The 25,662-nt window shown below is 41.5% G+C and overlaps 1 annotated feature.

Annotated features, from left to right (window-relative positions):
- Positions 12,405–13,604: an enhancer, noted in NCBI's record as "P300/CBP strongly-dependent group 1 enhancer chr1:203857413-203858612 (GRCh37/hg19 assembly coordinates)". NCBI's record gives its function as "activates an origin of replication core promoter dependent on BRD2, BRD4, P300/CBP, MED14 and CDK7 cofactors, with strong dependence on P300/CBP, by STARR-seq in HCT116 cells {active_cell/tissue: HCT116}" and the evidence as "EXISTENCE:reporter gene assay evidence [ECO:0000049][PMID:35650434]".

Consider the following 25,662-nt stretch of genomic DNA (forward strand, 5'->3'; position numbering starts at 1 on the left):
CTCCTGGCCTCAAGTGATCCACCCGCCTCAGCCTTCCAAGTGCTGGGATTACAGGCGTGAGCCACCATGCCCAGCCTCTTTCTTTCTTTTTAAGGCTGAATAATATTCCATTGTATCCACATTTCACATTTTGTTTATTCGTCCATTGATGCACCATCTGGGTTGCTTCCATCTTTGCCTATAGTGAATAATATTGCTATGACCATGGGTATACAAACTTCTCTTTGAGAACATGCTTTCAGTTCTTTTGGATATATACCTAGAAGTAGAATTGCTAGATCATATGCTAATTTTGTTTTTAAATTTTTGAGGAACTGCCCTATTATTTTTCATAGCAGTTTCACCATTTCACATTTTCACTAGCAGTGGATAAGGGTTCCAGTTTCACCATATTTTTGCTGACACTTTCCTGGTTGTTTTGATAGCCACCATTCTAATGGGTATGAAATGGTATCATTGTGGTTTTGATTTGTATTTCCCTAACAATTAATTGATGTTAAGTATCTTTTCATGTTTATTGGCTATTCAGATGGAGAAGTGCCTATTCAAATCCTTTGCCCATTTTAAAACAGGTTATTTCGCTTTTAGTTGTTGAGTTGTAGGAGTTCTTTGTATATTTGGGATATTAACCTCTTATCAGATATGTGATGTTTTCTCCCATTCCATAGATTGCCTTTTTTCCCTCCATTGATTGGGTCCTTTGATGCAAAGAAGTTTTTTAATTTTGATGTTCATTTTATCTATTTTTACCTCTATTGCCTTTTTGGTGTCTTAGGTATTTTTACTTTGGAGAGGGTTTTTCTTTTTTTCTTGTTTTTACAGTTGAGTATCCCAAATCCAAAATCTGACATGCTCCAAAATCTGAAGTTTTTTTGAGAGCCGACATGACACTCAAAGGAAATGCTCATTGGAGAATTTTGGATTTTGGATTTTCAGATTTGGCATGATTAATGGGTAAGTATAATGCAAATATTTCAAAATCTGAAAAAACCTGCAGTCTGAAACACTTCTGGTCCAAAACATTTTGGGTAAAGGATACTCAAACTGTAGTTTTTGTTATAAGTAGACAGTTTATAATAGTACTTTTTTTTTTTTTTTTTTGAGACAGAGTCTCGCTCTTGCCCAGACTGGAGTGCAGTGGCACGATCTCTGCTCACTGCAACCGCCACCCCTTGGGTTCAAGCAATTCTCATGTCTCAGCCTCCCTAGTAGCTGGGATTACAGGCGCCCACCACCACGCCCAACTAATTTTCATATTTTTATTAGAGATGGGGTTTTGCCACGTTGGCCAGGCTGGTTTCAAACTCCTAACCTCAAGTGATCTGCCCGCCTCAGCCTCCGAAAGTGCTGGGATTACAGGCATGAGCCGTCGCATCCGGCCTTAAAATAGTACTTATTTATGGAGCACAAAGTGATGTTACATTTATGACTACAATGTAAAATAATTAAATCAAGCTAATTAACATATTCATCACTTCAAACACCTTTTTTTATGGTGAGAACATTCGAAAGTTAGCAATTTTGAAATGTTCGATACACTGTTATGAACTACATTTGTAATGATGTATGATAGGTATCAGAGACTTACTTCTTATTTCTCTGTCTCATATCTTTTGTTTGTTTGTTTGAGACAGAGTCTCACTCTGTCACCCAGGCTGGAGTGCAGTGGTGCAATCTCAGCTCACTGCAACCTCCGCCTCCCGTGTTCAAGTGATTGTCCTGCCTCAGCCTCCCGAGTAGCTGGGATTACAGGTGTGCACCACCACATCCAGCTAATTTTTGTAATTTTAGTAGAGACAGGGTTTTGCCGTGTTGGCCAGACTGGTCTCAAAGCCCTGACCTCAAGTAATCACCCCGCCTCGGCCTTCCAAAGTGCTGGGATTATAGGCCTGAACCACTGCACACAGCCGTCTGACATCTTTTTAAAGAGACCAGTTCTCACTATATTGCCCACTGTGCCTGGCTTAACTGAGATTTTGTACCCATTTACTGTTACCACACCATTCTGCTCACTCTCCAGCCTTTGAAACCACTGTTCTCAGCCTCTATGAGTTCAATGGTTTTAAATTTCACTTGTGAGAATTTGTCTTCCTGTGCCTGGCTTATTTTTTCTTGCATAATGTTCTCCAATTCCTTCACATTGTTTCAAATGGCAGAATTTCCTTTTTTAAGGCTGAGTATTATTTCATCATCTATATATAACACATTTTCTTTATCCATTCCTCTGTTGTTTGTTTGCTTGTTTGAGACAGGGTCTTACTCTGTTGCCAAGGCTGTAGTGCAGTGGCATGACTACGGCTAACTGCAGCCTCAAACTCCTGGGCTCAGATGTTCCTTCCACCTCAGCCTTCTGAGTAGCTGGGACTACAGGTGTGTACACCACACCTGGCTAATTTTCTTTTTGTATTTTTTATAGAGACAGGGTTTTGCCATGTTGCCCAGACTGGTCCTGCAAACTCCTGGGATCAAGCCATCCTCCTGCCTTGGCCTCCCAAAATGTTGGGATTACAGGTGTGAGCCACTGCACCAGCCATTGATTCCTCTGTTGATGAGCACTTAGGTTGATTCCATCACTTGGCTATTGTGAATAGTGTTGCGATAAACATGGGAGTGTTGATATGTCTTTGACAAACTGATTTCAGATCTCCATACAGTTTTTCATAATGGCTATTCTAATTTACATTACCACCAATTATACATACGTTTTCTGTTTTCCCCACATCTTCTGCAACACTTAACCTTTTTTTGATAATAGCCATTCTGGCAAGTGTGAGATGATATCTCATTGTGGTTTAAATTTATGTTTCCCTAATGATTAGCAATATTATACATTTTTTCTTTTCTTTTTTTTTTGATACAGGGTCTCACTTTGTCACTCAGGCTGAAGTGCAGTGGCACCACCTTGGCTCACTGCAGCCTCGACCTCCTGGGGTCAAGTGATTCTCCTGCCACAGCCCTGAACAGGCAGTCTAGCTGTGTCGTTATCCCCACTGTTCCTTTTGAGGTAGGACTAGGTTGGACTTCCTGAGAAGCACTTCAGAATGCTAGGGAAGCGGTGTGACTGCCTTCAGCCCTCTTTTCTCCTGTAGAAACCATGGGCCCAAGGAAATTCTCTCCCCCTGGTGATGTGCTAGCTTGGGGAAGGGGTGGCATGGTCAAAGTGAGACTGTATCTCCCTACCCCTCTAATTCAATTTTCAATCAGTCCTTTGGACCACACATGTGTTTTAGGCTTGTTTCCAAATATTGGGGTTTTCAAAAAGATATTCTAGTCTGTGGATAGTTGCTAGTTGAACTTTCTGGAGGTGTCAGGGACTGGAGTCTGAGACTTCCTATTCTGCCATCTTGCTGGATGTCACTCCCCACATTTTTACTCTATACGCACATACTCTCTGCAGCTTGGCTCTTGCCAGTAAAACTTGGACATAATTCCATGTTAAATAGCTGTGACATTCTCCATTGTATGCTCTCCCAATTTAAGTAATCAGCCCCTTATTTATGGATATTCTAGGGTCTTTCCAATTTCTTGCTGTTACAAAGAGTTTTTGTAATGTACATCTTTATATCTGTTTGTGTCTATTTACATGTTTCTGTGAGATGAATTGTTGCAAGTGGAATTGCTAAATCAAAGGATATGTACATTTAAAAAAATTCTGTAGGTACTTCTAAATTGCCTTCTAAAGAACATATGAGAAAATTGTTTTCCTTATACCAGCCAACCATCAGGCAGCAGTTTTAATAAAAATGAAAGTCTCAATCAGGGGCCATGGCTCACGCCTGTAATCCTAGCACTTTGGGAGGCTGAGGTGGGTGGATCATCTGAGATCAGGAGTTCGAGACCAGCCTAACATGGTGAAACTCCATCTCTACTAAAACCGTAAAAAATTAGCCGGGCATGGTGGTGCACGCCTGTAGTCTCAGTTACTCGGGAGGCTGAGGCAGGAGAATCGCTTGAACCCAGGAGGCAGAGGTTGCAGTGAGCTAACATTGCTCTACTGTACTCCAGCCTGGGTGACAGAGTGAGACTCTGTCTCAAAAAAAAAAAAAAAAAACAAACCTGAAAGGCTCATTGTGATGCTAGTATGAAAGAATTGCCAACATCCTAAGGATGCTGGAGTAGAAAAAAAAAAAAAACAACCCTATTCTTTAGTGACTATTAAACCACTGAATTAATCAATACCGGAACTGCCTTAACAACAAACTTATTATGCAAGATAATAAATTTTCCTGTTGTTTAAACCAGCTTGGGTTGAATTGTGTTACTTACAGACTAATGCATTATAACTATTACAGCTTCAGACCAGGAGTCCCTCTCTTCAGTACCTTTTAATCTTAGAAGGGGATCATGTGTCCAATGAAGAATTGTTAAATGCTAAATCCTTGAAAAAGTTGGCAGTTGAAGTGATAATCTTGGACTGTATGGGGGAATACAAATGAAGAAGTGATGCAACTGATTTTACTCAGTAAACCAGTGAATATTACTCCCTCCTCTAATTAAGAAAATAATTCGGCCAGACACAATGGCTCACGCCTATAATCCCAGCACTTTGGGAGGCTGGGGCAAGCGGATCACGAGGTCAGGAGTTCCAGACCAGCCTGACCAACATGGTGAAACCCCGTCTCTACTAAAAATACAAAAATTAGCTGGGCATGGTGGTGGGCACCTGTAATCCCAGCTACTCAGGAGGCTGAGGCAGGAGAATCGCTTGAACCCAGGAGGCAGAGGTTGCCGTGAGCCGAGATCACGCCACCATTGCACTCCAGCCTGGGTGACAGAGCAAGACTCCGTCTCAAAAAAAAAAAGAATTCCTGGGAAAGATGATCTGGATTTTCATTTCATGTCCATAGAAACTGCTATCTCTGGAGTGCTAAGAGATTAGCTGTGTCCCCAGGGCCATCCTGAGATAAAGGTGTTTTGCTGGGCAGGGAAATTGCAGAGGGGAACTGGGAAGAAAGAACAAATGAATACTTCTTCCTGATGAACTGATTGCTAAATCAGAGATATGGTAGACAGTAGGAATGGAATGGGTGACGGAGTATTTTCTTTAGAAAAGCCAACTTCTTTAGATTCTGAACTTGATAGGGGACTCAGTTTTTGTGGATATATTTTAGTTCTCACCATTGTTGGCTTTTATTGGATATTATTATATGCTAGGCACAATGAAGAACATAAAATTCAGTCTGTCTTTGGAGATTTGGTGGTACAGTACAGTACAGAGGGAAAGATGACATTGAGACATTTAAACCCAGTCCAACATACCTGGGTTTAAATCCCAACTTTATAACTACCCATACCTCTCAACCTCAGTTTCATAGAGCTGTTGGAATAACGTAATGAGATAGTACATATAAAGTGCCTTATCAGGCCCCAAAAATGAAAATGATTTATAGTTTAAATGATTTATCTAGGAATATGTGTGGGGAAAAGGTAAACTCAAACTTCTGTTCCACATAGAGCAAGATAAGAAATTACAATTTTGAGGATCAGTTTTGTTTATTTAGGCAAGCTTATTAAGGTATAATTTATAGGTACCAAAACTCATGCTTTTTACCTGTATACTTTGATGATTTCTGACAAGTGTATACAGTCATGTAACCGTTACCACAGTCAAAATATACAATATTTCTATGATCTCAAATGTTGCCCTAGGCCCCTTTACAGTCAACCTGTCTCACTCACCCACAGCTCCTAGTAACCACTGACGTGATTTCCGACTCTATAGTATTATATTTTTCCAAATTTTATAAATGAAATCTTATAATATGTAACCTTTTGTATCTAGCTTCCTTCATACAATTTTTTTTTTTTTTGACAGAGTCTCACTCTGTTTCCCAGGCTGGAGTGCAGTGATGCAGTCTCGGCTCACTGAAACCTCCGTCTCCCAGGTTCAAGCAATTCTCCTGCCTCAGCCTCCTGAGGAGCTAGGATCACAGGCACATGCCACCACATCAGGCTGATTTTTGTATTTTTAGTAAAGATGGGGGTTTCACCATGTTGGCCAGGCTGGTCTTGAAATCTTGACCTCTAGTGATCCACCTGCCTCAGCCTCAGCCTTCCAAAGTGCTGGGATTATAGGCATGAGCCACCACGCTCGGCCCATACAATGCTTTTGAGATTTATTAATTTCTTGCATGTATCAATAGTTTGTTCCATTTAGTTACTGATTAATATTTCTTTGTATGGATGTACTTTTGTTGATTAAGTATTAATAGTTGACATTAGGCTGGGCACTGTGGCTCATACCTGTAAATCCTAGCACATTCTAGGAGGCCAAGGCAGGTGGATCACTTGAGGTCAGGAGTTCAAAACCAGCCTGGCCAACATGGTGAAACCCTGTCTCAACTAAAAAAAAAAAAAAAAATAGCTGGACGTGGTGGTGGGTGGCTGTAATCCCAGCTACTTGGGAGGCTGAGGCAGGAGAATCGCTTGAACTGGGGAGGCGGTGGTTGCAGTGAGCTAAGATCGTGCCACTGCACTCCAGCCTGGGGGCAACAGAGCAAGACTCCATCTCAAAAAAAAAAAAAAAAAGAAGTTGACATTAAGGATGTTTACAGCTTAGGGCAATTTTGCATAAAGTAAAATTTATGTGTAGGCCTTTTGTAAACATTTGAACTTTTTTGGATGAATATCTAGGAATGTGATGGTTAGGTCAAATGATTAGTTGTGTTTAACTTTGTGAGAGGTTCTCAGACTGTTTTTGAAAGTGGTGGCACCATTTTGCATGCCCACTAGCAATGTTTAAGAGTTCTGGTTGCGGCTAGGCACCATGGCTCACACCGGTAATCCCAGCACTTTGTGAGGCCAAGATGGGCGGATCATGAGGTCAGGAGATCGAGACCACCTGGCTAACACATTGAAACCCCGTCTCTACTAAAAATTAGCTGGGTGTGGTGGCATGTACCTGTAGTCCCAGCTACTTGGCTTGGGAGGCTGAGGCAGGAGAATCACTTGAACCTGGGAGGCAGAGGTTTCAGTGAGCCGAGATCATGCCACTGCACTTAACCTGGCAACAAAGTGAGACTCCGTCTCCAAAAAAAAAAAAAAAAAAAGTTCTAGTTGCTCTGTATCCTCACCAACACTTGGTATTGTCAGATTTATTTTTTGTTTTTGTTTTTTTCTCCATGCTAATAGATGAATAGCAGTATCTCATTGTTTTAATTGTCATTTTCCTGTGACAAATGATTTTGTGTGTCTTTTCATGTGCTTATTTGATATCACATATTTCTTTGGTGAAGTATCTCTTAAGACTTTTTGCTGATTTTTAAAAATTGGGTTGTTTGATTTCCTTTTTTATGTGTGTGTTGGGAGGGTTCTTCTGGATGAAAAGTTCCTTATCAAGTGTTTTGCAAATATTTTCTGCTGGTCTGTGGCTTGTCTTCATTTCTCTATAATATCTTTAAAGAACACAAGTTTTAGCCTGGACAACATGGTGAAACCCCATCTCTACAAAATTTAGCTGGCTGGGCATGGTGGTGCACACCTGTAGTCCCAGCTACCTGGGGGACTGAAGTCTGGGGGGCTGAGGTGGGAGATCATTTGAACCTGGAAAGTCGAGGCTACAGTGAGCTGAGATCATGCCACTGCACTCCAGCCTTAGAAACAGAGTGAGAACCTGTCTCAAAAAAAAAAGAACACAAGTTTTATGTTTGTATTTATTTATTTATTTATTTATTTATTTATTTATTTATTTTTGGAGACAGAGTCTTGGTCTGTCGCCCAGGCTGGAGTGCAGTGGCACAATTTCAGCTCACTGCAACTTCCACCTCCCTGGTTCAAGCAATTCTCCTGCCTCAGCCTCCCGAGTAGCTGGGACTACAGGTACACGCTGCCACACCTGGCTAACTTTTTATATTTTAGTAGAGACGGAGTTTTACCATGTTGCCCAGGCTACTCTCAAACTCCTAAGCTCAGGCAATCCGCCCGCATTGGCCTCCCAAAATGCTAAGATTACAGGCGTGAGCCACCACACCTGGCCTCTTTTAAAATTCTTATATTTTTACATTTATGATATATTTTGGGTTAATTTTTAAAATAATGGTGTGAGTTATGGATTATGGTTCATTTTTTTTCATATGGATGATCAGTTATTCAAGAACCATTTGTTTAAGGCTATTGGTTTTCAATGAATTGCCTTAGTACCTTTTTTCAAAACCAATTGACCATATATGTGGGTATTTTTCTGAATTCTCTTATTGTTTCGTTGACCTATAGGTCTGTTGTTTTAATGATACCACATTGTCTTGATTACTTTAGCTTTGTAGTAAACTTTGGCCTCGGGTAATTTGAATCCTCCAATTGTGTTCTTCCTTTTCAAAGTATTTTGGCTATTCTAGGGTCTTTACCTTTCCATTTAGATTTTAGAATCAGTTTATTGATTTCTTTAAAAAAAACAACAACCTGGGATTTTGGTTGAGATTGATTAACTCTATTAAGCATTTTGGGGTAAATTGTCATCCTAACAATATTGTTGGCTGGGTGCAGTGGCTCATGCCTGTAATCCCAGCACTTTGGGAGGCCGAGGCGGGTGGATCACCTGAGGTCAGGAGTTCAAGACCAGCCTGGCCAACATGGTGAAACCCCATCTCTACTAAAAATACAAAAAAATTAGTCAGGCGTGGTGGTGGTGGTGTGTGCCTGTAATCCCAGCTACTCGGGAGGCTGAGACAGGAGAATTGCTTGAACCTGGGAAGTGGAGGTTGCAGTGAGCCGAAATCGAGCTACTGCACTCCAGCCTGGGCAACAAGAGCGAAAATCTGTCTCAAAGCAAACAAATGAAAAACAATATTGTCTTCCAGTGGTGAATATGGTATATCTCCCCATTTATTTGGATTTTTCTTCTGTTTCTCTCATCAGTATTTTGTAGTTTTCAGCTTTACCACATTTTGTTAGGTTTATCCCTTCACGAGTATTTCTCTTTTTTTCTTTTTTTGAGACAGTGTCACTCTTGTTGACCAGGCTGGAGTGCAGAGGTGGGGTCATGGCGCACTGCAGCCTTGACTTCTCAGGCTCAGGTGATTCTCCCACCTCAGCCTCCCAAGTAGCTGGGACTACAGCTGCATGCCACCATGCCCAGCTAATTTTTTGTATTTTTAGTAGAGGAAGGATTTCACCATGTTGCCCAGGCTGGTCTCAAACTTCTGGGCTCAAGTGATTGCCCTGCCTTGGCCTCCCAAACTGTTGGGATTGCAGGCATGAGCCACTGTACCTGGCTGTTTTATATTTTTGATGCCACTGTAAATGGTACTGTTTTTATAATTTTGACTTCCAATTGTTTTTATTGACCTTGTATCCTATGACCTTACTAAACTCAGTTCTTTGTTGTAGTAGGTGTTTTTTTGTAGATTGCTTGGGATTTTCTTTTTTAAGTTGTCTATAAGGTATACAACACTGAAATAATTACTACAGTCAGGCAAATTAACCTGTCACCTTCCATAGTTACCTGTTTTTTTGTCTGGTAAGAGCACTTAAAATCTACGGTCTTAGCAAATTTTTCATATGTAATACAGTATTATTAACCGTTTTCCTCATGCTGCCCATTAGGTCTCTAGGCCTGCTCATCGTACACAACTGCCAGTTTTTGCCCTTTAATCTACCATTCCCCATTTCTCCCCTTCCCTGCCCCTGGTAACTGCTGTTCTCCTCTGTTTCTATGTACAGATGATCTCTAACTTACAATTTTTCAACTTTCGGATGGTGAGAAAATAATATACATTTAGTACACTCCTTGACTTACTATGGGGCTATAGCCAGATAAACCCATTGTAAGTTTAATATATAATAAGTAAAAAACAAAAGTTTCTTTTTTTTTTTCCAGATGGAGTCTCACTCTGTCACCCAGGCTGGAGTGCAGTGGTGCCATTGTGGCTCACTGCAACCTCTGCCTACCAGGTTCAAGCGATTCTCATGCCTCATCCTCTTGAGTAGTTGGGATTATAGGTACCTGCCACCATGCCCAGTTAATTTTTGTATTTTTTGTTTTAGTAGAGACAGGGTTTCACCATGTTGGCCACGCTGGTCTCAAACTCCTGACCTCAAGTGATCCACCTGTCTCGCCTCCCAAAGTGCTGGGATTACACGCATGAGCCACTACACCTGGCCTTATTTTCTTTTTTCTTTTTGAGATGGAGTCTTGCTCTTTCATGTAGGCTGGAGTGCAGTGGTGCGATCTTGGCTCACTGCAACCTCCACCTCCAGGGCTCAAGCGATTCTCCTGCCTCAACCTCCCAAGTAGCTGGGATTACAGCAGTGAGTCACTGTGCCCAGCCCTTATTTTCAATTTATGGTATTTTCAATTTAGAATGGCTTTATTAGGACATGACCCCTTCATAAGTCAAGGAGCATCTGTATTTGACTTTTTTAGAGAGTCTACATATAAAAGATTATGCAGTACATTTCTCTTTTTTTTTTCCTGAGACAAGAGTTTTGCTCTTGTTGCCCAGGCTGGAGTACAATGGCGAGATCTTGGCTTACTGCAAACTCTGCCTCCCGGGTTCAAGCGATTCTTCTGCCTCAGTCGCCCAAGTAGCTGGGATTACAGGCGCCTGCCACCAAGCCCAGCTAATTTTTTGTATTTTTAGTACAGACAGGGTTTCGCCATGTTGGCCAGGTTGATCTCGAACTCCTGACCTCAGGTGATCCGCCCACCTCGGCCTCCTAAAGTGCTGGGAGCACACAGTGAAAACGACATTTGCCTGTGCAATAGAAATTAAAATCCTTAGCATGACTTTCAATGTTTTCTATAATCTGCCTTCAACCTGCCCTTCACCCTTATCTCGCAGGACTACCCTATAAGAATACTCTGTATTCCAAACAGATACTCCAACTCCCTCCCCCTAAGTTTACCAATCTCCATGGTTTGTTTTTATGGCTTTAAATATGAATTCAATTACTTTAATAGATCTAGGACTATCCAGGTTATCTACTTCCATTTGAGTGAACTTTGAGAGTTGTGTTTTTATTCTATTGCTCCTTGCAGAGCAGAGGTACCCCATAGGCAGTGTGCCCAGAATAGCCCAGGGGAGCTGGAGTTGTGTTTTTTAAGGGATTTGTCCATTTCATCTAAGCTATTAAATTTATTGGCACAAAGTAGTTCACAATATTCCCTTATCCTTTTAATGCCTGTAGGATCTGTAGAGGTATCTTTACTTTCATTCTTCATCTATTCTGTTCTTTATTATTTCTATGTATCTCTTTATTTGGGTTTAATCTGATCTTTTTCTAGTTTCTTAAGGCAGAAGCTTTGGTTACTGATTGAAAACATGCCTTATTTTTTAAAAAAATTTTTATTATTTTTTTGAGATGGAATTTCGCTGTGTTGCCTAGGCTGAAGGGCAGTGGAGTGATCTCAGCTCACTGCAACCTCCCCTTCCCAGGTTCAAGTGATTCTCCTGCCTCAGCCTCCCAAGTAGGTGGGATTACAGGCGTGTACCACCAGAGCATGGAGCAGACATCGCATAAAAAATTTGGTTCCTCAAATTCAAGGTTTTTCTGCTCATAACACAACCCATTGCACGTGAGTATCATTTGGCCATCCTTGCATTGCCTTTGAGAATTAGGATTTGGGGAACTTGTAAGAAAATGCTGATATATTGGATATTGTCCTTGATAAGAGTAGTAAACTGTCCTCTGACTCACATTTCACATGTTTTCTACTAGCACCCATGAAACCATGCGGGGAGGGGGGCTTGCTTAGCCTGCAAGTAGGGTAAAACTAAGGATACTTAATGGTTCTTTACATCACCTTACTTGTTTTTTGTTTGTCCCATCCCCATCTCTTTTTTTCCTCAAAATTTTTGTTTTCCTTTGGATGATTTTTATGATTTCATTTTATATCTACTGTTAAACTTATTAGCTATACTCCATTTTTTAAAAGACTTTTACTTGATTACCTAGGGATTACAGTATACATCTTTCTTACTACAGTTTACTTTCAGTAGCTTTTTTTGTTTTGTTTTGTTTTTGTTTTTGTTTTTGAGATGGAGTTTTGCTTTTGTCGCCCAGGCTGGAGTGCAGTGGCACGATCCAACTCACTGCAACTTCTGCCTCCTGGGTTCAAACGATTCTCCTGCCTCAGCCTCTGGAGTAGCTGGGATTACAGGTGTCCACCACCATGCCCAGCTAATTTTTGTATTTTTGGTAGAGATGGGGTTTCACCATGTTGGCTAGGCTGGTCTTGAACTGCTGACCCCAGATGATACACCCACCTTGGCCTCCCAAAGTGTTGGGATTACAGGCATGAGCCACCGTGCCCAGTCTGCTTTCAGTAGTATTTTAACACTCCATGTATGCTATGAGACTCTTATACCTCCAATTCCTCCCTTCATTGTGCGTTTTTGTTGTTGTTGTTGTTGTTTGTTTAAGAGACAGGATCTTGCTCTGTCTCCTAGGCTGGAGTGCAATGGCACAATCATAGCTCAGTGCAGCCTTGAACTCCTGACTCAAGTGATCCTCCTGCCTTGGCCTCCCCTATAGCTAGGACTACAGGGATGCACCACCATGCCTAGCTAATTGTTTTGTTTTTTGGGTTTTTTTTTTTTTTTGCGTGTGTAGAGATAGGGTCTGTGTTTTCCAGGTTGGTCTCAATCTCCTGGGCTCAAGTGATCCTCCTGCCTCAGCCTCCCAAAGTATTGAGATTACAGGCATGAGCCACTGTGCCCAGCCCTCTTTGTACTCTTTTCGTCATACTTTTAGTTCTCAGTCCCATAATACATTGTTACTATCTTTGCTTTAGGCAGTTATTGAGATTCACATCATGTGCCTGAATATTGGGTTGGGAAGTCCCATATTTTCTCTTATGAATTTTAAAAATTTTATCAAAATTTTGGACTAGAAATAATTTTTTGGGTCATTCTTTTTGAAAAGGTGTATGGTTTTTTGCTAAGTGGATCTTTTCTTGGCTTCTAGTTGAGACCTTTCCACACATAACTTTCCCACCCACTCTTGAGGAAACCTGAAGCCTGATTCCATTTATGTATAGGATCCTTCTGAAGTCTTGGCTGGAGTTCAGTTTCAGGGAATTAGCAGCAGGAAAGGCTGGAGGGAAGGTCAGTGAGGGCATTTCATTTTCTTCTCTTATTGTTAATTTCCTTGAGACACCTAAAGAAAAGAAAAAGTACTTTCTACTCCAATCTTTCTACCTTGTTTTAACTCTAGGGTGTTTCTTTTTTTCCCCATTCCATTGTTAAGACAGGAATCAGGGTTTTTTACAATGTATCACCCATAATCATGCTTTCTACAATAGTCATTTCCTGTTGCCCTCTAAGCTTTGTTCATGGTATTCCATTGAGTTGACAAATCATAATTTATAATACATTTCTTTGTGAAGCTCAGCTTTTTCATTATTACAAATTATGCCACAGTAAACATCTTTGTGCATCTTTTATACCTCATGAAGTGTATTTCTATGAGCAGGTATCTATATTTTATAACAGCATTTTTATAGTTATTACGTATTATAAATAAGATTTAGAAAAAGAAGGACATTGGGAATGTATATACCCTGGGGGAAAAGGTCTTATGACTTTGCCTAGAGAAAAATAAATAGATTGAATTGATTATAGACTTGTTGGAGACAGGTTATTGAGAGGGAAATGTCAAAAATTTGGCTATGAATTTCAACTATGCTTTTTTCAGAGATTAGTATTTGAGGTTTAAATACCTCTTAACTGTTTTTTAAAATCAGTATGTTGAGTCCATTCCTGAGTTGAAATTTTGACATACTTCTTCCTGTTGTGAAATCTGCTTACAAAGATTTAGGCAATGTTTTAATATATATGTATGTGTGTGTGCTAGTGTGTTGTGTAGGAATAAAGCAAAATCACCACGGAAATGAGGTATTCTGTAACTCTTCATAAAGGACCTATGCCTATGCTGTTTAATATAGTTGTCACTAACCATAAGTGGCTATTGAGCACTTAAAATGTGCTAAGGCTAAGGAACGTACTTTTTGGTTTAGAAAACCTTTAAGTATGTTTGGAACAACTTGTGTACGACAGTCTACTTTTTAAACTAGACATTTGGCCAGGCACGGTGACTCACGGCTGTAACCCAGCACTTTGGGAGGCCGAGGGGGGTGGATCACCTGAAGTCAGGAGTTCCACATCAGCCTGGCCAACGTGGTAAAACCCCGTCTCTACTAAAAATACGAAATTAGCCAGGCGTTGTGGTTTATGCCTGTAATCCCAGCTACTCGGGAGGCTGAGGCAGCAGAATTGCTGCTCAGAATGAGCTGAGATCACACCATTGCACTCCAGCCTGGGCAACAAGAACAAAACTCCATGTCAACAAATATATCTATTTATATATGTTATATTATATTATATTATATTAGTATTATATTACATAATATATATTTATATATTATATGTATTTCTATTATATATTTATATGTTATATTATATATATATATATATATATATATTTTTTTTTTTTTTTTTTTTTTTTCCTGAGATGGAGTCTGGCTCTATCACCCAGGCTGGAGTGCAGTGGCATGATCTCGGCTTACTGCAACCTCCGCCTCTCGGGTTCAAGCGATTGTCCTGCCTCAGCCTCCCCAGTAGCTGGGATTACAGGCATGCGCCACCACACCCAGCTAATTTTGTATTTTTAGTAGAGACGGGGTTTCTCCACGTTGGTCAGGCTGGTCTCGAACTCCCGACCTCAAGTGATCTACCTGCCTCAGCCTCCCAAAGTGCTGGGATTACAGGCATGAGCCACCGCACCCAGCCAATAATAATTTTTATGTTTGTAACATTGAAATAGTTATATTTTAGATATAATGGATTACGTAAAACAAAATTAATTCCACCAATTACTTTTTTTTGATATTGCTTCTTTTTTGAGACAGGGTCTGGCTCTGTCAACCAGGCTGGAGTGCAGTGGCTTGATTTCAGCTCACTGGAACTTCTGCCTCCCAGGCTCAAGCCATCCTCCCACCTCAGCCTCCTGAGTAGCTGGGACTACAGGTGCATGCCACCATACCTGGCTAATTTTTGTATTTTTTTGTAGAAGTGGAGTCTCACTTTGTTGTCTAGTCTTGTCTCAAACTGCTGATTTCAAGTGATCTGCTGCTCACCTCGGCCTTCCAAAGTGCTGGGATTATAGGAGTAAGCCACCGAGCCTGGCCAATGTGGATATTAGGGAATTTAGAATTACATATGTGGCTTGTATTTCTGTTGGACGACACTGGCCTACATTGTAGGTGACATGAGTGAAGAAAACCACTGTTTTCACAGCTTCAAAATGTTGTGACTGGGCACAGTAGCTCTCGTGCCTGTAATCCTGGCACTTTGGGAAGCCAAAGTGGGAAGATCACTAAAGCTCAGGAGTTTGAGACCAGCCTGGGCAACATGGCAAAACTTTGTCTCTACAAAAAATACAAAAATTAGCCAGGCATGGTGGCACCGCCTGTAGTCCCAGCTACTAGGGAGACTGAGGCAGGAGGATTGCTTGAACCTGGGAGGTTGAGGACGCAGTGAGTTGTGATTGCATCACTGCACTTCACCCTGGGTGACAAAGTGAAACCCTGTCTCAAAAAAACAATAAATAAATAAAACATTGCAAACACAGACAACTCACTGTCTAAAGGAAGATCTGAGTTACTGAGACTAGAGTTTTCAATGTTTAGGTTGTAGAAAGGAGAACAAGGAATGCCAATGCAGGTCGACTGGTTATAGGTAAAGGGTGGGCATTGTCAGGGTTTACTGCTTAAAAGTAACTAGTGTCCCATTTAAAGTATGGGCTGACTACACAGTTATTACTGCATGACCCTGCTTTTTGTCTTCAGTGTGTAATACAAGAAGTAGTGAAACCCCATCTCTACTAAAAATACAAAATTAGCCCAGCTTGGTGGCACGTGCCTGTAATCCCAGCTACTTGGGAGGCTGAGGCAGGAGAGTCGCTTGAACCCAGGAGGTGGAGGTTGTGGTGAGCCGACATCACGCCATTGCACTCCAGCCTGGGCAACAAGAGCGAAACTCCGTCTGGAAAAAAAGAAAAAAAAAGTAAACATGAGGCTAGACATGGTGCCACATGCCTATAATCCCAGCACTTTGGAAGGCTGAGGTGGGTGGATGGAGCCCAGGAGTTCAAGACCAGCCTGGGCAATATGGCAAAAGCCTGTCTCTACAAAAAATACAAAAATTAGCCAGATGTGGTGGTGCATGCCTGTATTCCCAGCTACTCGGGAAGCTGAGGTGGGAGGATCACTTCAGCCTGGAAGGTCAAGGCTGCTGTGAGCCAAGATTGTACCACTGCACTCCTGCGTGGGGGACAGAGTGAGATCCTGTCTCAAAAAAAAAAAAAAAAACTTAAAAAGACAAAAAGGTAAACATGATGGTTGAGGAACAAGAAAAGGACAAAATTGATGAGCAAAGTGATTAAATACTAAAATGAAAGGAACAGAAGGGTAGAATTAACAGAAAGCCAACTCAAGAAAATTCAAAAGAAAAAGAAAAAACAAGAATTCTAAGTGTCGGATCCATGAGCCCTTCATACCAGATACAGGAGCCAATGAACCTACCTGAAATTACATTTAAAATAACAAGGAATGTTCATTTATGAGGGGAATGTGGTCAGTAGCTTTCATTAAATTCATAGAGGAGTTCATGTCTTTCCTCCACAACAGGCTTGTAATCATAGCTGCAACAAATAAAACAGTAGGCTTCTAGTCAAAATGGAGTAAGAGGGATCAGATTTAACAGAAACAAGTAAAAATCTGGGGCTGGGTGCAGTGGCTCGTGCCTGTAATCCCAGCACTTTGGGAGGCTAAGGCGGGTGGATCACCTGAAGTCAGGAGTTCAAGACCGGCCTGACCAACATGGAGAAACCCCGTCTCTACTAAAAATACAAAATTAGCTGGGCAAGGTGGCGCATGCCTGTAATCCCAGCTACTCAGGAGGCTGAGGCAAGAGAATCACTTGAACCCGGGAGGCGGAGGTTGTGGTGAGCCGAGATCGCACCATTGCACTCCAGTCTAGGTGACAAGAGTGAAGCTCCGTCTCAAAAAAAAAAAAAATTGAATAAGAAATATGAAACAATTAAATTTCAGACAGTAGGACACCAGGCATTCCAGGACGGTGGTTGTTCTCTCAGGTAACCATATGAAGTGAGCCTTACAATTCATCAAACTTAACATCTAAGGAGATTTTCTCAAGCCTCAGTACAGTGGGTAGGAACCTGGGTGGAACACAGGGGAGTCTCCCTGAGTTGAGATGGGATTGGGAATCTACAGCAACCCAAGGAAATAAAGTTTTCAGGGAAGAGTTCTGGAGAGGAGAGAACTGGAGATGTGCAGAGTTTCCGCCTCAAGTCTTCAGAGGGTTGACCAGCACATACATGTGAGGTAACAACCCAGGCAAGGGAAGTAAACATCAAAAAGAAGCAGAATAAACACTTCTTTTCATGCATTTTGCAAAGGACTGGGAAAAGATTTTATTCCTGCCAGCTACAGAGGAAAGACCTCATACCTCAAAAGGGGTCAGATAGAATATTTAAAGGGACATTGCAGGCCGGGTACGGTGGTTCACACCTGTAATCCTAGCACTTTGGGAGGCCAAGGCATGCAGATCACTTGAGCCTGGGAGTTGGAGACCAGCCTGGGCAACATGGTGAAATCCTTTCTCTACAAAAAAATACAAAAATTAGCCAGGTGTGGTGGCATGCACCTGTAGTCACAGCTACTCAGGAGGCTGAGGTGGAAGGATCACCTGAACTCAGGGAAGTCAAGGCTGCAATGATCTGTGATTGTGCCACTGTACTCCAGCCTGGGCAACAGAGTGAGACCCTGTCTGAAAAATAAATAGAAGAACATTGCATTAATAGTGGAAGAAAATTAGTCCTAGACTAAGCTTGCTTTGGTGTTACCTAACAAAGCTTAAATGTGAGTTTTGAGAGAAACTGGGACGAAGCTTAAGAATATTATTATATTATGCAAAAATATCTGGCACCCAACAAGGTGAAATTCAATGTCTGGTATCCAGTTGAAAATTATCAATCATGCAATAAAGCAGAAAAATGCAACCACAATGAGAAAAATACAAACACCTGGAAATGACACATGATAGAATTAATTGACAAGGATATTGAAACTAGTTAAAAGTATATTCTGTATGTTCAAGAAAGTAGAGGAATGCTTGAAACATTGAAAGATTGAAAAGACTGGCATCAGGCTGGGTGCGGTGGCACATGCCTGTAATCCCAGCACTTTGGGAGGCTGAGGCAAGTGGATCACTTGAGGTCAGGAGTTTGAGACCAGCCTTGCCAACATGGTGAAACCCCATCTCTACTAAAAATACAAAAGTTAGGTATGGTGTAGGGGTCGGGGCAGGGGGGCACCTGTAATCCCAGCTACTCGGGAGGCTGAGGCATGAGAATTGCTTGAACCCAGGAGACAGAGGTTGCAGTGAGCCAAGATTGTGCCACTGCACTCCAGCCTGGGTGACACAGTGAGACTTCATTTCAAAAAAAAAAAAGACCAGTATCAAATTTCTGAAAATGCAAACTTTAGTGTGTGATATGAAAAACACACTTGTTAGAATCAACAGCACATTAGAGAGTGTGGAATAAAAGATTAGTAAACTTGAACACATAGCACAGAAGTTATTCAAAATTAAAGAAAAAAGGCTGAAGAAAATGAATAGCATATCAGTAAACTGTGGGAGAACCTCTAGCAGTCTAATTTGTGTGTAATTGGAGTCTCCAAAGGAGAGGGGAGGAGAGAAAAAGGATTTGAAAAAATAATGGCTGAAAAATGTTCAAATTTGATGAAAACTATAAGCCCTTAACAGGTCTAATGGACCTCAAGCACAAGGAAGACAAGGAAAATAATATCATGACACATAACACTTGAAAAATTGTTCAAACCAGAAATTGAGAGGAAATATTAAAGGCAGTAGGAACTAGACATGTTACAGATAGAGAAACCAAAGGATGACAGCATATTTCTCATCAGATACAATGCAGGTGTGAAAACAATGGAGTTACATCTTTAAAGTACTGAAACAAACAAAAAATCAACCTTGAATTCTATACCCAGCCAAAATATCTCTTGAAAACAAAGGTGAGCCAGGTATGGTGGCTCATGCCTGTAATCCCAGCACTTTGGGAGGCTGAGGTGGGCAGATCACAAGGTCAGGAGTTTGAGACCAGCCTGATCAATATGGTGAAACCCTGTCTCTACTAAAAATATAAAAACTTAGCCGGGCATGGTGGCGCATGCCTGTAATCCCAGCTACTCAGGAGGCTGAGGCAGGGGAATTGCTTGAACCTGGAGGCAGAGGTTGCAGTGAGCTGAGATCGCACCACTGCACTCTAGCCTGGGTGACAGAGTGAGACTCCATCTCAAAAAAAAAAAGAAAAGAAAGGTGAAATAAAGACTATTTCAGAAATACAAAAGCTGAAAGAATTCATCACCAGCAGACTTATACTATAAGAAGTATTAAGTCCTTCAGGGACAAGGAAAAAGGTACCAGATAGAAGTCTGGATCTACAAAAAAAAATGAAGAACAAGAAGCTTTTTTTTTTTTTTTTTTTTTTTTTTTGGTAAAACAGTTACTGCTTAAAGGAAAAAGTACTACAATTAATCATGGGATTTCTTTTACATATATATATAGAGAGAGAAGTAAAATACATGACCACAATAGAATAAGGCCAAGATGGGGGAAGTGAAATCATACTGCTGTAAGATTTTTTTTTTTTTTTTTGGAGAGATGGGGTCTTACCATGTTGCCCAGGCTACTCTCAAGCTCCTGGCCTCAAGAAAGCCTCCCACATCAGCCTCTCAAAGTGCTGGAATTTCAGACATGAGTTACTGCACCTGGCATGCTGTAAGATTTTCACCTTGTACATGATAAATCCTGAAGTAATCACAAGAAAAATAGAAAAGCTAATAAGTCAACCAAGGAGATTTAATGGAGTCATTAAAAATTCTTAGTCTAAGCCAGGTGCGGTGGCTCATGCCTATAATTCCAGCACTTTTGGAAGCCGAGGTGGGTGGATCATCTGAGGTCAGGAGTTTGAGACCAGCCTGGCCAACATGATGAAACCCCATCTCTACTAAAAATACAAAAAATAGCTGGGTATGGTGGCACACGCCTGTAATCCCAGCTACTCGGGAGGCTGAGGCAGGAGAATTGCTTGAACCCAGGAGACAGAGGTTGCAGTGAGCCAAGATTGTGCCACTGCACTCCAGCCTGGGTGACAGAGTGAGACTCTCCAAAACACACACACACACACACACACACACACACACAGTCTCTTCAATCTAAAAGACTGAAAAGAAGGCAAGGAAAAAGGAAAAAAAGCTGGGACAAACAAGACAAACAGCAAGGTGGTACATTTAAAACCGACCTTTTCAATAGTTATACTCAGAATTGTCCCAACACCCCAATTAGCATCACAGACCCTACCGCATGCTGCTTGCAAGACAACCACTCTAAATATAAAGACAATCGGTTAAATGCAAATGGATATTAAATGATATGCCTGTAATAAAAAGAAATCTGATGAAACTATATTAGTATCAGACAAAGTAGATCTCAGAACATAGCATATTGCCAGGGAAAAGGGGATATTTTATGAGATCATAGGGTCAATTCAATAAGAAGTCATAACAATTCTACATGTTCATTTGCCTAAATGACAGCTTCAAAATACATAAAGAAAAACCTGATGGAACTGTGAGGAAAAACAGTTTTCACAATTACAGTCAGATTTTAGCACCTCTCAATAATTGCTAAGTAGAAAATTAATAAGAATGTAAAAGACTTGAACCACATTATCAACCAACTTGATGTAACAGATATTTACAGAGTACCTAGCAGCAAAAATAAATTATATTAAAAATGCGGGTGCAGCACACCAGCATGGCACATGTATACATATGTAACTAACCGGCACATTGTGCACATGTACCCTAAAACTTAAAGTATAATAATAATAAAAAAAATTATATTAAAAATGCTTCTTAAAATAGGGGATTTGATAAACATTTTTAAAAATAAAAACTATACAGCACTCAGCATCAACAGAAAACTTTTTTTCAAGTGCACAAGGGACTTTATCAAGATAGGCTAAGTTCTGGGCAGCAAGTATCAATGCATTTAAAAGGATTAAAATCATTCAAAGTGTGACCTCATAGCCAGGCGCAGTGGCGTACACCTGTAATCCCAGCACTTTGGGAGGTCAAGGCGGGTGGATCACCTGAGGTCAGGAGTTCACGACCAGCCTGACTAACATGGTGAAACTAAATACAAAAAAATTAGCGGGGCGTGGTGGCACATGCCTGTAATCCGAGCTACTTGGGAGGCTGAGACAGGAAGAATCACTCGAACCCGGGAGGTGGAGGTTGCGATGAGCCAAGATTGCGCCATTGCACTCCAGCCTGGGCAACAAGAACGAAACTCCATCTCAAAAAAAAAAAAAAAAAAAAAAAAAATCATTCAACGTGTGACCTCAATAAAGTTAGAAATAACCAATCTCTGGGAAATTAACAAATATTTAGAAACTAAATAATATCCTTCTATGCAGTCCATGTACCAACAAAGAAACCAAAAGGGAAGTTGGGACTCATTTTGAACTGAATGAAAAATGAAAGCACACATATCAAAATTTGTAGGATATAGTTAAAGCATGATTCAGAGCGAAATTTGTAGCATAAATACATACATTTGAAAAGAAGGAAGATCTTAAATCAATGACCTCAGCTTCTACCTTAAGAAACTAGAAAATAAAGAGCAAATAAATCACGCCTGTAATCCCAGCACTTTGGGAGGCAGAGGAGGGCGGATCACGAGGTCAGAAGATCGAGACCACGGTGAAACCCCATCTCTACTAAAAATACAAAAAATCAGCTGGGCGTGGTGGCAGGTGCCTGTAGTCCCAGCTACTAGGGAGGCTGAGGCAGGAGAATGGCGTGAACCCGGGAGGCGGAGCTTGCAGTGAGCCGAGATTGTGCCTCTGCACTCCAGCCTGGGCAACAGCGCGACTCCGTCTCAAAAAAAAAAAAAAAAAAGCAAATAAAGTAAGCAGAAAAAAGGAAATAATAAAAGATGAGGGTGGAAATCAATGAGGTATAAAACAAAAGTAATAAAGAAACTCAGTAGAAACGAAAGGGCTTTTTTAAATTAGAAGATCAATGACATTGATAAACCTCTGGCAGGATTGATCAGGAAAAAATAGAGGTGACACAAATTACATGAGAGAAGTGACATAACTACAGATATTACGTATATTAAGAGGCAATAAGGCAATATTATGAACAATTTTATGCCAATAAATCAGACAATTTAGAAGAAATACCTTGAAAGACAAACTTACCAAAATTTACTCAAGAGGAAATAGTTAACTTCAATAGCTATATAACTTATAAATAATTTGGATTTGTAGCTAGAAACCCCACAAAGACAACACCAGGCCCAGATAGCTTTATTATTATATTCTACCATACATTTAAGGAAGAAAAGCAAATACAAATTCCCCACAAAGTCTTGCTGACAGTTAAAGAGAACAGAACATTCCCCAACTCACTCTAGGCCAATCAATGCAATTTTCCACATTAACAGCATATAAAAGAAAAAAACAACAACTATGATCTCAACACTTAGAAAACATAAGTAAACTCTCAGCAAATTAAGGTTAGTTATTTATGAAAAACCTACATCGATATCGTGTTAAATGTTGAAAGATTTAATGCTTTCCCTGTACAATCAGGAAGAAGGCAATGATGTCTGCTCTCACCTATTCAGTGTTATACTGAGTGATTTAACTGCTGCAATGATGAAACAAGAAAAAGAAGCCAAGATAAAGTAAGTAATAGGAAATGGATTTACCCTTTTGACTGAAACAACTGGAAAACTAGACTAAGTACATGAAACAATGGTTTTTAAGATATTGGACATTAGGCTACTGAGTACAGTGAACCCTGATGAATGGGAAAGAAACAGAGCTCTACAATTGGCCCAGCTTACTGCCTGAAAATACTTGCTAGAATGAAGGGAGTGGGAACCTAGGTGTAACCTAAACATCTCCCTGCATTGAAGGGATGGAACTGGATTACTGGGAGGCCATGGCAACTAGAGTTCTCAGGGTAGCGTGTCAAATAGGAGAGATGCATACAAAGGCAGGACTCAAGACCAGTTGAGCACATTCTTCTAAAGAAAAAAAAATTAAGGCTAGGTGCAGTGGCTTACGCCTGTAATCCCAGCACTTTGGGAGGCCGATGTGGGTGGATCACCTGAGCTCAGGAGTTAAAGACCAGCCTGGCCAACATGGTGAAACATCTCTACTAATACAAAAATTACCCGGGCGTGGTGGCACGCGCCAGTAGTCCCAGCTACTTGCGAGGCTGAGGCAGAAGAATTGCTTGAACCCAGGAGGCGGAGTTTGCAGTAAGCCGAGATTGCTCCATTGCACTTCAGCCTGGGTGATAGAGTGAGATTCTATCTCAAAAAAAAAAAAAAAAAGAAAGAAAAAAAATTTTAAATTTAGAAATAAGCAAAAGAAAGTATAGCCTGTCTTTTCAATGTCTTACTAGAGCACTGTTTAACAGGCCCATCCGAAGATTGTTGACTTCTTTAGAATGTGTGTTTGACTTTACTATTTACCATCTGTTAAAGCCCAAATCTGTGAAGTTAAATGTTAACTTTTAGATTTCTGTCCAGTGGAAAAGATAACCCCAAAGGTTATAGTTTTATTGCCCTGGAACTCATTTACCAGTTTTGTATCTAACCTAGCAATCTTAATCCAGCATTCTTTTTAAAAATAACATGTCTATAAATATAAACTTCCTCCAATACTCTTGGAACTACTTTCATTAGTTTTGTGGTCCTATCATTAATAAGTTAATGTATTTTTGACATGGGTTCATTCTATTATTTCTGTAAAAGACATATTTTAAACCTTTTAAATATTATACTTTGTTATGGAAGTTCCAAATGGACACTTACCTGAAACAATTAAGGAGTTTTGCCCTTGAAGTGCGCCTTATAGAATATTTAAGCACAGGCATACCATTTTATTGGTCCCTGGAATGAATCCCAGGTAGAAATATAACTTTAGTCTCCATCTCTTTCTTTATTCCTACCCTGTGTTGTTATTTTTGTTTTTGGTTCTTGGCTAAACTTGGTTCTATTTCTGATTTGCAGACAGTTTACAAGCTGTTCTCAATTGATCATAGTGAGAGGTGACAGCGTGCTGGCAAGCCCTCGCAGCCCTCGCTCGCTCTCGGTGCCTTCTAGGCCTCAGCGCCCATTCTGGCCGTGCTTGAGGAGCCCTTCAGCCCGCCGCTGCACCGTGGGAGCCCTTCTCTGGGCTGGCCGAGGCCGGAGCCGGTTCCCTCGGCTTGTGGGGAGGTGTGGAGGGTGAGGCACGGGTGGGAACTGGGGCTGCGTGCAGCGCTTGCAGGCCAGCTAGAGTTCCGGGTGGGCGTGGGCTTGGCGGGCCCTGCACTCGGAGCGGCCGGCCGCCCCGCCGGCCCTGAGCACTGAGGAGCTTAGCACCCGGGCCAGCAGCTGCGAAGGGTGAGCTGGGTCCCCCAGCAGTGCTGGCCACCGGCGCTGTGCTCGATTTCTCGCCGGGCCTTAGCTGCCTCCCCAGCAGGGCTCGGACCTGCAGCCCGCCATGCCTGAACTTCCCCATCCCCCTCCACCCGCCGTGGGCTCCTGCACGGCCTGAGCCTCCCCGAGGAGTGCCGCCCCCTGCTCCACGGCGCCTGATCCCATCGACCACCCAAGGGCTGAGGAGTGCGGGCGCACGGGACGAGAAGGGCAGGCAGCTCCACCTGTGGCCCCAGTGGGGTAACCACTTGGTGAAGCCAGCTGGGCTCCTGAGTCTGGTGGGGACTTGGAGAACATTTATGTCTACCTAAGGGATTGTAAATACACCAATCAGCACTCTCTCTAGCTCAAGGTTTGTAAACACACCAATCAGCACCCTGTGTCTGGCTCACAGTTTGGGGATGCACCAATTGGCACTCTGTATCTAGCTAATCTGGTGGGGACTTGGAGAATCTTTATGTCTAGCTCAGGGATTGTAAACACACCAATCAGCACCCTGTCAAAACGGACCAATCAGCTCTCTGTAAAACAGACCAATTGGCTCTCTGTAAAATGGACCAATCAGCAGGACGTGGGTGGGGCCAGATAAGAATAAAGGCAGGCTGCCTAGCTAGCGTGGCAACCCATTGGGGTCCTCCTTCACGTTGTGGTGCTTTTGTTCTTTTGCTCTTTGCAATAAATCTTGTTGCTGCTCACTGTTTGGGTACATGCTCCCTTTATGAGCTATAACGCTCACCGCAAAGGTCTGCGGCTTCACTCCTGAGCCAGCGAGACCACGAATCGACTAGAAGGAAAAAATTCTGAACACATTGGAACACCAGAAGGAACAAACTCTGGACACGTAGCCTTTAAGAACTGTAACACTTACTGCGAGGGTCCGTGGCCTCATTCTTGAGGTCACTGAGACGAAGAACCCACCAATTCGGGACACAATAGCAACAATTGGGGGTCTGATATTATGGTCTGCCCATTTGGTTACAGATGTCAACGTGATGGGAGTTTAAATACTCTGTTAGCTAAAAGATGATAGAATATGTTTTGTGACTCTTTTTCTTTTTGTGAAACTTCGCCTATTTGTTAGTTCAAGTCAAATAAGAAAATGTTTTGTGGC

The sequence above is a fragment of the Homo sapiens genome, chromosome 1, assembly GCF_000001405.40.
Source record: "Homo sapiens chromosome 1, GRCh38.p14 Primary Assembly".
Classification (NCBI taxonomy): domain Eukaryota; kingdom Metazoa; phylum Chordata; class Mammalia; order Primates; family Hominidae; genus Homo; species Homo sapiens.